This window comes from Homo sapiens, chromosome 11 (assembly GCF_000001405.40).
Source record: "Homo sapiens chromosome 11, GRCh38.p14 Primary Assembly".
NCBI lineage: Eukaryota > Metazoa > Chordata > Mammalia > Primates > Hominidae > Homo > Homo sapiens.
In genome coordinates this window covers 69,020,928-69,036,467 of record NC_000011.10, presented here as the reverse complement: position 1 = coordinate 69,036,467, position 15,540 = coordinate 69,020,928, and positions in this window count along the sequence as shown.

The window sequence follows — 15,540 nt, the reverse complement described above, 5'->3', positions numbered from 1 at the left end:
AGAGAACTTGTCTCAAAAAAAAAAAACAAAAAAAACAAAAAAAACTCATGAGCTATTCTCCCATCCCTTGTCACACTTCAACCTTGAAACTACTGCCCAGAGCAGCCCAGGAATTATCCCTGTGTTGCACGCTGGGAAATGAAGACTCAGAGAGGCTGTGTGCGTTGTCTGAGGTCACACAGTGAGCGAGGGGCACAGTGAAAGCCAAGCCTGGCCCTGGAGGGGAAGGAGAGCGTGTGAGCTGGGCACAGGGCCCAAAAATGGGGTGTTGGTGAGCAAACCCCCTTGTCCTGCCCTGGGGACCAACCCCTGGGAAAACCAGATACTTCCCAGGCCAGGGCAGGCTGCACGTGCTATTTTGAGTTCTCTTGCATATGACACAAGCAACAGGAATTCGGGGAGACCCAGGCCATTTGCTATGTTGTGAACCAAATGGCTTGTGGTGGCAGCCAAGGAAGGGGCCGGTGGGGGACGAGAGTCACTAGGGTGGCGTCGGGAAAGTGAGGGCTGAAGTCCGAGCCCAGAGGCCTGTGGGGTTGGGGGTACAGAGAGGGGAGAAGTCTGGGAGGGGCCCCTGGGATGAAGCCCTGGGAGAGGGGTCGGGGGTGCAGAGAGGGGAGAAGGCTGGGAGGGGCCCCTGGGGTGAAGCCCCGGGAGAGGGGGTTGGGGGTACAGAGAGGGGAAAAGGCTGGGAGGGGCACTGGGGGTGAAGCCCCAGGAGAAGCAGGGGCCAGTCAGGCCTAGCTGGGAGGACAGCCAGCGGGGTGGAAGCTGGGGTCTTGCCAGCTCTTAGGCCAGGGCCCTGGACGCTCCCGCTGAGACAAGGATTTGAGCACAAGTAGTGTGTTTTGGTGGAGAGCCTGGGAAGGGTGGGAGGGAAAGAGGGAAGGGGCGCAGGGGAGGGGAGAAGCCAAATAAGGCAAGTTTTCAGCAGTGGCAGCGGGGCTAGGCCCCGTGGAGACCTCTGGGAGACCACATAGAACAAGCCTCAGAGGTATCGGGGAGGTGGGAAAGCAGGCTGTTCTCCCCACTCCCGGTGGTCCCTGGCCATGGCTGGGAGCTGTTCCTAGGGCACAGATCTCCCTGCGTGGAGGGGCGCAGGGGCCGGCAAGGGGGCACCACCAGTCTGTCCTGGGTCGGGGAGTGCAAACGTGCTGCAGGTGGCACCATGCACCCCTGCAAGGAGGCAGTGCCGAGCTCAGACCCTCCCCCGACAACCACACACAAGGAGCACCCGAGGTTTGAGGCTGAGGTGAGCTGTGATGGCATGGCAGCTCCAGCCGCGCGGCAGGGTGAGACTCTGTCTCTAAAAACAGTTTTTTAGAGACAAAGGCGGTTAGGACTTTCACTCGTCTTCTTTTCTGTTTCTTTCTTTCTTTCTTTATTTTCTTTGAGATAGGGTCTAGCTCCGTCACCCAGGCTGGGGTGCAGTGGCACAATCACAGCTCACTGCAGTCTCGGCCTCCCCAGCTTAAGCGATCCTCCCACCTCAGCCTCCCAAGTAGCTGGGCCACTGGGAGACAGAGTGAGACTCCATCTCAAAAATAAAATAATATAAAATAAAATAAAATAAAAATAGAAAGTACAAACTGGACTTGTGCTACCAAGGGACTGATGAAAGGAACCAACGTAACCCACTCCGGATGGTATGTTACTTGCCCGCAGAAAGCAGTGAGGCTCCGACACCAGCTTCAATGGGGATGGATCTTGGAAACATGACGTTGAGTGAAGGAAGCCCAGCTCGAAAGGCCACATATTACACGATTCCATTTATACGAAATGTCCAGAAGAGGCAGGTCCTGAGAGAGAAAAAGCAGCTTTACAGTTGCCAGGGCCTGGGAAGAGGGAGGAACAGGGAGAGACTGCTTACGGGGATAGGGTTTCCTTTTGGGGTGATGAGAACATTCTGAAATTGGAAAGTGGTCATGGTTGTTCAACCTTGTGAATATACTAAAAGCCACTGAAGTGTATCCTTTTAAGAGGGCCCATTTTATAGTAAGCGAATTATGGTGCAATTTTCAAAAGCGCACACGCAGCGGGCCATCTTTAAATGAGATAAACAGGGAGATCCTCTGGGAGGAGGTGCCGCTTCAGCTGAAGTCTGAAGGCTGATGAGGGGTCCTCCACACGGTGGGTACAGACAGGGAGGCAGGAGGAGCCGCAGTGTGCAGGGGCGGTGCTGGGAGCAGTGAGCTTGAGGGGAGATGACCCAGAGGAAGTGAGGGGCAGCTGCAGACCCCGTGGGGCCTGGTGTCCGTGCTGAGGGGTTTAGACCTCACTCCGAGAGCAAGGAGAAGGCCGCCAGACAGTCTTGAGCAAGGGAGAGAAACACGTGGGATCTGTGCTTTTAAGAGGTCCCTGGGAGAGGCCTGGGGGGATTAGAGGGGAAGAAGGCCGACCCTCCAGGGGGACCAGGTGCCTCAGGGACACAATGGCTTGAGACTGGGCTGCAGTTACCTGGTACAAGCAGCCATTCACCCCTGGGCCTGAAGAGGGGCCGTGGTGGGGGCAGCTTGCACTGGGGTGGCCGAACCCCACGATGTCTTAAAGGCAGCCCTGCCCTCAGACGATGAGCCCCAGGCTGGAAGAGAAAAGTCTGGGTGTGCTCTGGCACAGAAAGGGGCTACACAGGACTCCCACCTCAGGGCTTTGAGGTGAGCTGAGAGTGAGTGAGACCCAGTAGGGTGGGGCCACGGCCAACCCCACAGTTGCCCTGGGACCAGACTCTGAGCCAGCCTTGCAGGCTTTTTACAGCGGGGGACCCAGAGCTCGGAGGTGGGAGGGGAGGCCCCGGGATAGACCTGAGGTCGGGCGGGGCTGGGGGTCACGCACCCAGGGAGGGATGATCCTTCCACAGCCTGCCAGAGGGAACTCATCTCGGCTAGGGGACCCTGGCGGTTCATGGGCAAGGCCTACTCTGCCACTGCACCTTGCCCCTGTGAAGCTGAGAAGCCCCCACCCATCTCCAGCGGCTACTAATGTATGTGAGCAGCTTGGAGAGTGGGCGATGTCCCCCAGCCCAGCAGCTGGGACCAGGAAGCTACTCAGGGATTAATGCCAAAGACAGCCTCTGCTCCCCTGCTGTGCTGGCTGAGGCCTCCACGCTGAGGACGTTCGCCCAGCACCAAACCCCCATGAAGCATCTCCTGCATGCCAGGTCCTTGCTGGGCACTGGGGACAGCAGCATATCTGCCATGGTGCCCCTCCCTGATAATCTCACCGCACACCCCCCCGGGGCCAGGAGCCAGGTCTGTCTTATTTACCCCAGGGTAACACACAGAGACTGAACACATAGTAGCTGCTCAGCAAATGGTGTTTTGATGCACGACAGAATCCACACGTGTTGAATGGAGTCAGGAGCAGCAGCACTTACGGAAGGGACAAACTGAGCTTGGGCTAAGAAGCAAGGCTTCATGAGGAGGCTTCCTGGAGGAGGTGACATCTGAGCTGGGCCCTGAAGGATGCATGGAAGTTTTCCAAGGGACAGTGGTAAAGAAAACAGTGTGATCACAAACCGAGGGGCAGAAAAGGGCCCGCACCAACCAGGAACCCCAGCAGTCCACGGTGGGCCAGGGGCTGGAAAGTTGGGGAAACTCCTCCGGGAGGACTGTGGCTCTAGAGTCCCTCTACCTGGAGCCCCTGTGGACTGGGCCAAGCCAGCATGATTCATCCAGCTCCTGGCTTGGCTGAGGGTCCCCCTGCTCCTGTTCCCGGAAGCCTCTTTCCCAGATGAGGCTGAAGATAGCATGGTTAAGGACAGAGGTGAGGGAGCTCTGCATTTCTTTTTTTTTTTTTTTTGAGATGGAGTCTCACTCTGTCCCCCAGGCTGGAGTGCAGTGGCGCAATCTCAGCTCACTGCAAGCTCCGCCTCCCGGGTTCATGCCATTCTCCTGCCTCAGCCTCCCGAGTAGCTGGGACCACAGGCGCCCACCACCACGCCCTGCTAATTTTTGTATTTTTAGTAGAGACGGGGTTTCACCGTGTTAGCCAGGATGGTCTCGATCTCCTGACCTCGTGATCCACCCACCTCAGCCTCCCAAAGTGCTGGGATTACAGGCGTGAGCCACCGCGCCCAGCCGGAGCTCCACGTTTCTACCAGAAGTGACTTTGGTGCAGCTCAGACCCGGGAGGACATGCATGGAACTTGGTGGTCACTCTCCCCATCTCAGGGAGAGAACTCAGGCTTTGCAGGCCTCCCTGCAGGGACCCCCCTCCGCCCCCCGCAGAAAAAAGGCCTCAAAACCACACAGCCACCCCCTCCCCTATGGTCAGGAAAGCTGCTAGGTCCTGCGTACATTATCAAGGTGGGAGGGGTACATCCCAGGACCAGACGCAGGACTCAGCAAACAGCATGGGCTGGGATTCAGCCCCACTTACCCTCTCAGCCAGGGGCACTTGAGGAGTGCACAACCCAGCAACAGGACAGGGCAGCCCTGCTTAGAGCTCTATCCACAGAGTCTCTGCAGTCTCAAGACAGGGGCCCAGGCCCTGAGACATGTCATGCTCTGCTCTTTGAAGCTTCTCATTTCCCCTGAAGAACACTGGGGGCTGCCATCCACACTGTGGCTTTTATAATGAATGTTTCTGCTACTTTTTGGTAAGTGGGTTTGAAAGCAATTTTGGGAAGATGGGACAGTGATGCCATAGTTTTTTCCACCTCCCCAAATTCCCCAACAATTGACAGAGCATCTAGGATAGAAAAACCAAAAACCTCTGGATAACTATAGCCACAACGGGACTAGATGGCAAGGTGTCCACAGCACACAAGCAGGGGGGTACAAAGTCACTGACAGCCACAAGCCTTGCATGGTATCAGCAACCGCAGGAGAGGAAGAGGAGAGAAGTCAATGCAGACGGGGATTCTGATGGTCCTGAGATCTGGAGAGACCCCCAAATCACAGCAGGTACTCCCTGGAAAGCCCATAGTCCAGTCAGAGAACAAGAGTCAAAGCAGGGAGACTCACAGCCTTCCTTCCACTTGCAGGCGCCTGCAAGGAGAAAGCAGTAAGGCAGACGGTGCCGGAGCCATCTGGGCCATGGACTCTTGAAATTCACAAAATGCAACTCGCTTCCAAGACAAAGCCCTGCCCCGAGAAGAAATTGCTGGGGGTAGAATCCAAATTGACCAGGGCAGAAGCACAAAGGAAAACAGGTCCCAGTAAAAGGGAGAGAAGAGAACAGAGGCAGCAGGTTGCAGAAAGCAAGGGGCTGTGTTTACCATCTCTTCTCAGAACTATTAGGTTGGTGCAAAAGTAATTGCAGTTTTTTAGTTTTGCACCAACTTAATAAGAGCAGAGGGCGCTCTCAAGGGAGCTATCCTGGCCCACCTTTCCCCCAGAGATATTCAGAAAGATGCATCTCACTGTGGGGGGGAAATGATCAACAGGAAGGAAGTGTTGTCCAATCCCATACAGAGATGCTATACAAAAAGAGACAGGCCAGGCACGGTGGCTCATGCCTGTAATCCCAGCACTTTGGGAGGCTGAGGCAGGCAGATCACCTGAGGTCGGAAGCTTGAGACCAGCCTGACCAACATGGTGATACCCTGTCTTTACTAAAAATACAAAAATTAGCCAGGCGTGGTGGCACATGCCTGTAATCCCAGCTATTCAGGAGGCTGAGGCAGGAGAATTGCTTGAGCCCGGGAGGTGGAGGTTGCGGTGAGCCAAGATCTCGCCATTGCACTCCAGCTTGGGCAAAAAGAGCGAAACTCCATCTCAAAAATAAAAATAAAAAAGAGAGACAAAGGAGCAGAATGACAGCCCTACCCAGCCAACGATGGTGTGCCCAAAGGACATGTCCTCAAAACAGACAGAAGCAGTCACTTTAACATCGCACAACAAGCTGTGATTTTAGATATTAAGAAACTAATAGAAGTTATGGAAAATAGCATAAATCAAAACTAGAAAAACTCAGAAATGAAGCAATCGGTGAAAAGGAAAAGTTGTAAAGAGATGATGAAATCAGAAAGGAGTTTAAAAGAGAAAAGGAATTAAGAAATGAAGACTGAAACTAAAAGGAGTAGAAGGGCAAATGAGTACCACAAATAAAGCCTTAAGAGAAACAGACTAGGAAAAGCAGGCTGTTGAGGCTCATGTCTGCGGTCACAACTACTCGGGGACTGAGGAGGGAGGATCGCTTGAGCCCAGGAGTTCAAGTCCAACCTGCGCAAAACAAGACTCTTATCTAGAAAGAAGGGAAGGAAGGAAAGAAGGAAGGAAGGAAGGAAGGACGAGAGGGAGGGAGGGAGGGGAAGAAAGAGAGAGAGAAAAAAAGAAAGGAGGGAGGGAGGAAGAAAGGGAGGGAAGGGGGAAGAAAGAAGAAAGAAAGAAAGAAAGCAGAAAAAATTTTAAACCAAAAAGAAATGTTGAAGCCAAAAAAAAAAAAAGTCTAGAGAAAATTATAGCTATAGAAAATAGGCAAATAAGATTCAAGATACATACAATAGGAATCCCAGAAGAAAACCAAAGCAATGAAGCAGAACAAATAATAATTATAATTCAAGAAAATTTTTCTGAAATAATAAAATAAAATAAAAAATTTTTAAACTGAGTAAAGAACACCAATCAACAAAAGAAAACCAATCGACAATCCCCCCTGCCAAAAAAGAGGGGATTAAAGGTATCATATGAAGGTATTGGGGGAGGGTTGCCACAAGAATAAAAACACAAAGGTTCTCAACAACAAAATCTACACTAAACCAAGAAAGAGTAACGTGGCCCCGCCAGCACATCCCTCTAAGGCTGCAAGTCCTTGAATCCCCTTCTCTATAAGGTTCCTGGTAAGAGTTTAACAATGAGACGGGTTTTCTTTTTTTTTTTTCTTTGAGATGGAGTCTCGCTCTGTCTCCAGGCTGGAGTGCAATGGCGCGATCTCGGCACGATCTCTGCTCACTGCAATCTCTGCCTCCCAGGTTCAAGCAATTCTCCTGCCTCAGCCTCCTGAGTAGCTGGGATTACAGGCATGTGCCACCACGCCTGGCTAATTTTTGTATTTTTAGTAGAGGCTGGCTTTCACCATGTTGACCAGGATGGTCTCGATCTCTTGACCTTGTGATCTGCCCATCTCAGCCTCCCAAAGTGCTGGGATTACAGGCATGAGCCACCTCACCCAGCCTAGAGAGGTTTTCAAAAGACGTATAGTAGGCTGGGTGCAGTGGCTCACACCTGTAATCCCAGCACTTTAGGAAACAGAGGGAGGAGGGTTGCTTAAGGCCAGGAGCTCAAGACCAACCTGGGCAACATAGCGAGACCCTGTCTCTACCAGAAAAAAAAAAAAAAAAGAAATCATAAAAATAGCCAATTGTGGTAGCATAGGCCTGCCTGTAGTCCCAGCTACTCGGGAGGCTGAGGTGGGAGGATCATCTGAGCCCAGGAGTTGGAGGCTGCAATGAGCTACAATCACGCCACTCCAGTCAGCCTGGGCAACAGAGTGAGGCCCTATCTCTAAAAAAATATTTTTTTGGCCAGGCACAGTAGCTCATCCCTGTAATCCCAGCACTTTGAAAGGGTGAAGCAGGCAGATCACTTGAAACCAGGAGTTTGTGACCCAACCTGGCCAACACTGCAAAAACCTATCTCTACAAAAAACACAACAAATTAGCCGGGTGTTGTGCGTGCCTGTGGTCCCAGCTACTCGGGAGGCTGAGATGGGAGGATCGCTTGAGCCCAGAGGTTGAGGCTGCAGAGAGCCGTGATCATGCCACTGCACTGCACTCCAGCCTGGGTGACAGAGTGAGATCCTGTCTCAAAAAGAATTTTTTTTTTTTTTTTCTTGAGATGGAGTCTTGCTCTTTCACCCAGGCCGGACTGCAGTGGTGCTATCTGGGCTCGCTGCAATCTCCGCCTCCCAGGTTCACGCCATTCTCCTGCCTCAGCCTCCCGAGTAGCTGGGACTACAGGTGCCCGCCACTGCGCCCGGCTAATTTTTTGTATTTTTAGTAGAGATGGGGTTTCACTGTATTAGCCAGGATGGTCTCGATCTCCTGACCTTGTGATCTGCCCGCCTCGGCCTCCCAAAGTGCTGGGATTACAGGCGTGAGCCACCGTGCCTGGCCAAAAAGAAATTTTTTTAAACTAAAAAATTAAAAACCATATCCATCTGAGTTTGGAGAGGAAAGCAGGGCCACTCCATGCATTCCAGAGAAAAAGGGGCTTACTATAGAAATCAGTGCTTCCATAAATGCAGGAGGAGCTGGAGGGTGGGGCTGGGGAAGGTGTGGGAAGCTTGCTGCAGTCCTCATCAGCAATCACATGGGGTCAAGTGCCTGCAGAAGGCAAACAGGCAACGGTAGCTGTTGCAACAGAACGCGATGGTGAAATACAGAGTTTGCATCCTGTGAAGTTGGTGGCCTCCTCCTATTGCACCGGAGAATTTGCTGGGGGAAAAAAATAGGAGCTCAGGGTTTTAAATATCCAGTTCAAGACCTAAAGTACCAGAAACCCTCCACTGGTGCTTGAAAAGAAGTCCATATCTCTTGTAGCCACAGAGTTGAGAGATCAAAAAAATAAACAAATCCAAACTCTGATCCCCTGGGTGGCAAAATAGAATCAAGTTCAACTACTACACTTGAACTCAGGGCCGCAAGTTTCTCTTCTGTGAAAGTCAGGGCACTGACGGGGAAAGAGTGGATCCCTGAATGGTGGAACGGATTCCATTTGGGAAGATTCTAATCCTAGGGTAGACTCTTCCTCAAGAGCCCCTACCACCTCCAGCTTCTAGATCGAAATCCCGGTGAGCTCCAGGAATGTGGCCACAAAATCTGACCCAGGAAGATGTACTATACACAACAAAAGAATTGCAAGCTATTTCCGGTTCATACTGGCAGAAACCTAGGAAATCTGTAGGGGAACAAACCCTAAGGGTGTCAGACCGGCGGGGTGGGGGAAGAAAGTAATGCCGGGTCAGGCTTAATTATTTTGATATGGTGCACTCACCAGAGATTCTGAGCTCCACGTGTCCACTCAGCACCTGGGAGTGGCTCTCAGAGTTGGCCCATTCCATCAACTGAAACCTGGAGCAGTGGTGACCCATGTTTTTATTTATTTATTTATTTGAGACAGAGTTTCACTCTTGTTGCCCAGGCTGGAGTGCAATGGCACGATCTCTGCTCACTGCAACCTCTTACTCCTGGGTTCAAGCGATTCTCCTGCCTCAGCCTCCTGAGTAGCTAGAATTACAGGCACCCGCCACCATGCCCAGCTAATTTTTGTATTTTCAGTAGAGGCAGGGCTTCACCCAGTTGGCCAGGCTGGTCTCGACCTCCTGACCTCAAGTGATCCACCTGCCTCGGCCTCCCAAGTGCTGGGATTACAGGCATGAGCCACCATGCCAGGCCTTGTTTTGTTTTTTGTTTTTTTTTTTGAGATGGAGTCTTGCTCTGTCACCCAGGTTGGAGTGCAGTGGCACAATCTCAGCTCACTGCAACCTCCATCTCCCGGGTTCCAGCAATTCTTCTGCCTCAGCCTCCCAAGTAGCTGGGACTACAGGTGCCTGCCACCACGCCTGGCTAATTTTTGTATTTTTAGTAGAGATGAGGTTTCACTATGTTGGCCAGGCTGTTCTCAAACTTCTGAGCTCAAGTGATCCACCCACCTCCATTCCCAAAGTGCTAGGATTACAGGCATGAGCCACTGCACCCAGCCCAGTGGTGACCCATTTTAAATGAAGATGGGATTCCAGGACTTCTTTGGAATTCCGTGGAGCAGAGTTTTTCTACTTCAGCACTATTGATATTTGAGGCCAGATGGCTCTTTGCTGTTGGGGGAGGTTGTGGGGACCTTAGCAGTATCCCTTGCCCACTCAATGCTAGAAACGTACCCCTCCCAGCCATAACAACCAAAGATGCCTCTGGACATTGCTAAGTGTCCCCATGGGGGGCAAAATCTCCCCTGATTGAGAGCCACTGCAGTAGAGAAAGGTGTCCAAAGAGTAGGGCCAAGCACAGTGGCTCACACCCAGAATCCCAGCACTTGGGAGGCCAAGACAGATGGATCACTTGAGCACAGGAGTTTGAGACCAGCCTGGGCAACAAGGTGAAGCCTCATCTCTACAAAAAAATGGAACAAATTAGCCAGGTGTGGTGGTGCGCACCTGTGGTCCCAGCTACTCAGGAGGCCTGAGCCCAGGAGGATGAGGCTGCAGTGAGCTGTGATCACACCACTGCACTCCAGCCTGGATGACAGAGAGAGACCCTGTCTCGAAAAACAAACAAACAAACAAAACCAAAACAGAAAAAAAAAAACCCAGAGTTAAGGAGAGGAATACTGGAGTGAATGTATCATGTACAGTCTACTCTGTTGTTTTTTTTTTTTTTTTTTTTTGAGATGGAGTCTAGCCCTGTCACCCAGGCTGGTGTGCAGTGGCGCAATCTCGACCCACTGCAACCTCCACCTCCTGGGTTCAAGCAATTCTCCTGTCTCAGCCTCCCAAGTAGCTGGGACTACAGGCTCCTGCCACCACGTCCGGCTAATTTTTTAAATTTTTAGTAGAGACAGGGTTTCACCATATTGGTCAGGCTGCTCTTGAACTCCTGACCTCAGGTGATCCACCTGCCTCGGCCTCCCAAAGTGCTGGGATTACAGGCGTGAGCCACTGCGCCCAGCCGCAATCTACTCTTTCATCCCCTAACTAGGCCCTCAGGAGGGCCCCTCACCCAAGCATTGAGAAAGACACTGGGTCAGGAACATCAGCATGTTTGAAGAGTTTGTAGTGGCTGCTCTCTGCAGGCTAGGAGTGACAGTGGGAGATGCTGCCATTGAAATGGGCTTCCTGAATTCAGTGAGGATGGTGGAATCCCAAAGTGGCGGGGCCAAGGGACAGTTCACCACGCAGACAGGGAGGGTGTCGTTACATCACAGAGAACTGGATTAATAATCAGAATGGCTTGACCCCCCACCCCCACCCCAGAGTTCCCTGGCAGTGGTTAACTCACCATGAAGAACCTAGGACTGAAACAGTTGGTTTTACCATGTAAAATTGCCAATGTTCAACCATTTTCTTTCTTTTCTTTTTTTTTTTGTTTTTTTGTTTTTTTGTTTTTTGTTGTTTTTTTTTTTTTGAGATGGAATCTTGCTCTATCACCCAGGCTGAAGTGCAGTGGCACGATCTCGGCTCATTGCTGCAACCTCTGCCTCCCGGGTTCAAGCGATTCTCCTGCCTCAGTCTCCCGAGTAGCTGGGATCACGTGTGTGCGCCACCACACCAAGCTAATTTTTGTATTTTTAGTAGAGATGGGGTTTCACCATATTGGCCAGGGTGGTCTCAAACTCCTGACCTAGTGATCCACCCGCCTTGGCCTCCCAAAGTGCTGGGATTACAGGTGTGAGCTACCGTGCCCGGCTGTTTAACCATTTTCAACAAGAAAAACTACAATTTAACATCATTCAGCCTAACATCTTGGCAACCTACTAAGATCTTACTTGACCTGATTAAGGAGCTCTGTGAACGGACAGCTGACTCGAGTCACTGTGGTGGAGGCTCGGCGCCCTGACCCAGTTCCCAGATTTTACCCAGAGCTCCTTGAATAAAGTGAGGCTGGGTCTCACTGAGGAAGGACGCTGCTCTGCCACCAAACATTTACAATGTACACACATTTTCCTTGCTGTCCCCAAAGGGACCTGTGCCATTTATCTGGGAAGAGTGAATATGGAAAGGCAAATACCCAGAGGGGAGGGCGGTCACAGGGAACTGAGTCTTAGCGGTACTCGTTGTGCCTGATGCACACAGCCACTGCGGTCCCACAGTCAAAGCAGGGGCTTTTGGAGGTCAAGCAATGAATGGGGTTTGTTCTGATCCGTCTCATGGGAGGCTCCGCAGGCCCTGAAACCCACCCTGTGGTTATTTTCTCATTCTGGAAAGTACAGTGGAAGAGGCACTCAGTGGTGTAGAAGCCATGGGGTGGCTCCTTGACTGGTAGAGTGAGGGCTACTATGGTAGAAAGGGCCACATGGATGCCACCAGCACTGCCTCTCTCTCCCAACATGGAAAACCAAAAGTCATATTGTGAACTTAGTCAAGCAGTAACTGCAACTTCATGTGCTTTTCTGGATGTAATGTTTTTATGGAGCAAATCAACACAGCTCCCAACACTCAATACCAATTATTTTTCTCTATACTCATTACTTAACAGAAACAGGCCAGGCGCGGTGGCTCATGCCTCTAATCCCAGCACTTTGGGAGGCCTAGGCGGAGGATCACTTGAGGTCAGGAGTTCAAGACCAGCCTGGCCAACATACCACAACCCCGTCTCCACTAAAAATACAAAAATTAGCCAGGCATGATGGTGCATGCCTGTAGTCCCAGCTACTCAGGAGGCTGAGGCACAAGAATTGCTTGAACCTGGGAGGCAGAGGTTGCAATGAGCCATCGTTGTACCACTGCACTCCAGCCTGGGCGATAGGGCAAGACTCTGTCTCAAAAAAAAAAAAAGAAAAAAATAGAAACAAATGAGAAGTGTGTTCCGTTGGGCAGTGACAGGAAAACACCTTTACCCCCTTACCTCAGGTCTACCAACTCTCCAGCCCTCTGTGACAGCTAGTTCTGGAGTACTTCCATTACCTCACCATTCCACAGGCTGACGAACCGACCCACTGTAGTGATAGCATGTGTGCGTTGGACCTGAGAAGAAACAGTAAATACCCGAGCCATCTTGGCAAGACACAGGCATGTCAGCCAGTGGGAAATGAACCCCACAAAACGCCTAACATCTCAGTGAAGTTTCTAGGGGTACAATGGTGGGGGGCGTGTTGAGATAGCCCCTTGAAGAGGAAGACCAGTTGCTGCACCAGGCACCCCCTCCTGTTAAGAAAGTGGCATGACCTTTGGTGGGGCTCTGGGTTTTGGTGCAGCTTACACCTCATTCAGGTGTGCTCTTCCGACCGACTCACTGGTAACCTGCAAGGCTGCTGCCAGTTTCAGGACCCAGAATGAGAGAAGCCTCTGCAATACATCCAGGCTGCTTTCAAGCTGTCATGCTATTGAGCCCAACAGACCCAACAGATCCAGTGGATCTTGAGGTGTCCGGGGCAAGTAGGGATTCTGTATGAGGCCTCTGGCAGGCTCCAACAGGTGTCACAGAAGAGACCACTGGGATTTTAGAGCAAAGACATGTCCTCTTCTGAAGATAACTATTCTCCTTTTGAAAAACAGCTTCTGGGCTGGGCGCGGTGGCTCACACCTGTAATCCCAGCACTTTGGGAGGCCAAGGCCAAGGCGGATCACCTGAGGTCAGGCATTCAAGACCAGCCTGGCCAACATGGTGAAACCCTGTCTCTACTAATATATAAAAATTAGCCGGGCATAATGGCAGGTGCCTGTAATCCCAGCTACTGAGGAGGCTGTGGCAGGAGAATTGCTATGAACCCGGGAGGCGGAGATTGCAGTGAGCCGAGATGGCACCATTGCACTCCAGCCTGGGTGACAAGAGTGAAACTCTGTCTCAAAAAAAGAAAAGAAGAGAAGAGAAGAGAAAAGTCCAGGTGCGGTGGCTCACGCCTGTAATCCCAGCACTTTGGAAGGCCAAGGTGGGCAGATCACAAGGTCAGAAGTTCAAGACCAGCCTGGCCAATATGGTGAAACCCCATCTCTACTAAAAATACAAAAATTAGCCGGGCGTGGTGGTAGGCGCTTGTAATCCCAGTTACTCAGGAGGCTGAGGCAGGAGAATCGCTTGAACCCGGGAGGCAGAGGTTGCAGTGAGCCAAGATCCTGCCACTGCACTCCAGCCTGGGAGACAGAGTGAGACACTGTCTCAAAAAAAAAAAAAAGAAAGAAAGAAAGAAAAAGAAAAACAGCTTCTGGCTTGCTGTTGGACTAAATGTGTCACATTTTCCCACAGGATCTGAGCTGCCCACCCGAAACTAGACGGTAACCAATCCAACACATGATACAGGTAATGTGTGCTGTAGCACCGTGATCAGGTAGAAGTGGGCCACGTGAGCTCAGACTTGAGCAGCTCCTGAAGTCCGTTGCACAAGCAGATGGCCCAGACTCCCGTGCACCCCCTTCACTGCAGAGCTCCTCCCCGCCTCCACATGAATGATCTCATGGGAGTCCCTTATGACCAGCTGACCAAGAAAGAAAAAACTCCAGGTCTGTTTTATGTATGGCTCGCTGGCATCGCCTGAAAGTGGGCAGCTGGAGCTCTACTGCCCCAGTAAGGGTGGCCCTGAAGTGTCCGGGGACAGACTTGCAAACAGTGCACCTGGTTGTTCACATTACACAGAAGGAGAGATGGTCAGAGATGTGAGTCTACACTGATTCATGGGCAGGATCTAACGACTGCTCCGGAGCTTGGAAGGAACACTATTGGACAATTAATCCAAGGTCTCGGGAAGAGGCATGAAGGCGAATCCCTTTTAATGGGCATAAGGGGGGCAGATAGCTCTTTGTGTCCCATGTAAATACTGGCCAACGGTCAGCCTCCCAGAGACGGCTCTCACTAAACAGGTGGACCGGATGACCTATTCCGAGGATGACACTCAGCCTGTTTCTCTGGCCACCTGGTTTCCCATGAGCTCAGCCATGTGAGCTTCCCCTGGCCAAGGCTGACCATCTACAATCACTGTTGAGATCCTACAGGCCCATGATGGGACATCATTTCCCAGGGGACAGCCAGCCACCTCGTGCGTGGCAGGTTGATTTCCTTGGACTGATTCCACTTGGAAAGGGCAGAGATTTGTTTTTCCTGGAATAATCACTTGGTTTTTTGTTTTGTTTTGTTTTGTTTTTGAGACAAAGTCTTGCTCTGTCGCTCAGGCTGGTAGCTGGGATTACAGGAGCGCACCACCATGCCCGGCTAATCTTTTTTGTATTTTTAGTAGAGACGGGGTTTCATCATGTTGGTCAGGCTGGTCTCAAACTCCTGACATTGTGATCTGCCTGCCTTGGCCTTCCGAAGTGCTGGGATTACAGGCGTGAGCCACCGCACCCGTCCAATCACTTGTTTTGAATATGGATTTGTCTTCCTTGCCTACAGTGCTTCTGCCAGAACCACCATCCATGGGCGTATGGGACCTTACAGATCATTAGTGTATTCCCCACGCATTGCTTCTGATCAAGAAGCTTAGTTTTCACAAATGCAATGGACCCGTTGGCTTGTACCCACTGAATTCTCTGTCTTGCCAAGTTCCCCATCATCCTAAGCAAGGAGCAGTTTTTGGACACAGGAATGACCTTTTCATGGCAGACGATGACATGTTGTGGGACCACAGGATGAAGTGTAGGCTCTGAACCATCAACCCCTGAGCCCACCAGCACAGAGGGGGTCACGGCACCGGCTGAGGTGGCTGGCCCTCATGGGTTGCTATGATGGAAATGGGAGACCCATGCCTAGAATCCAGGAGATTCTCTGACATATCCCATAGCACTCTGGTGTCCCATGGTAAAAAGTCACAGGAAACTACAGCAATGCAAAAGAGGTAGCCCCACCCAGGGCACAGATCCTTCGAGAATGAAGGCCTGCATCCTGGCTAACACGGTGAAACCCTACTCTACTAAAAATACAAAAAATCAGCCAGGTGTGGTGGCACATGCCTGTAG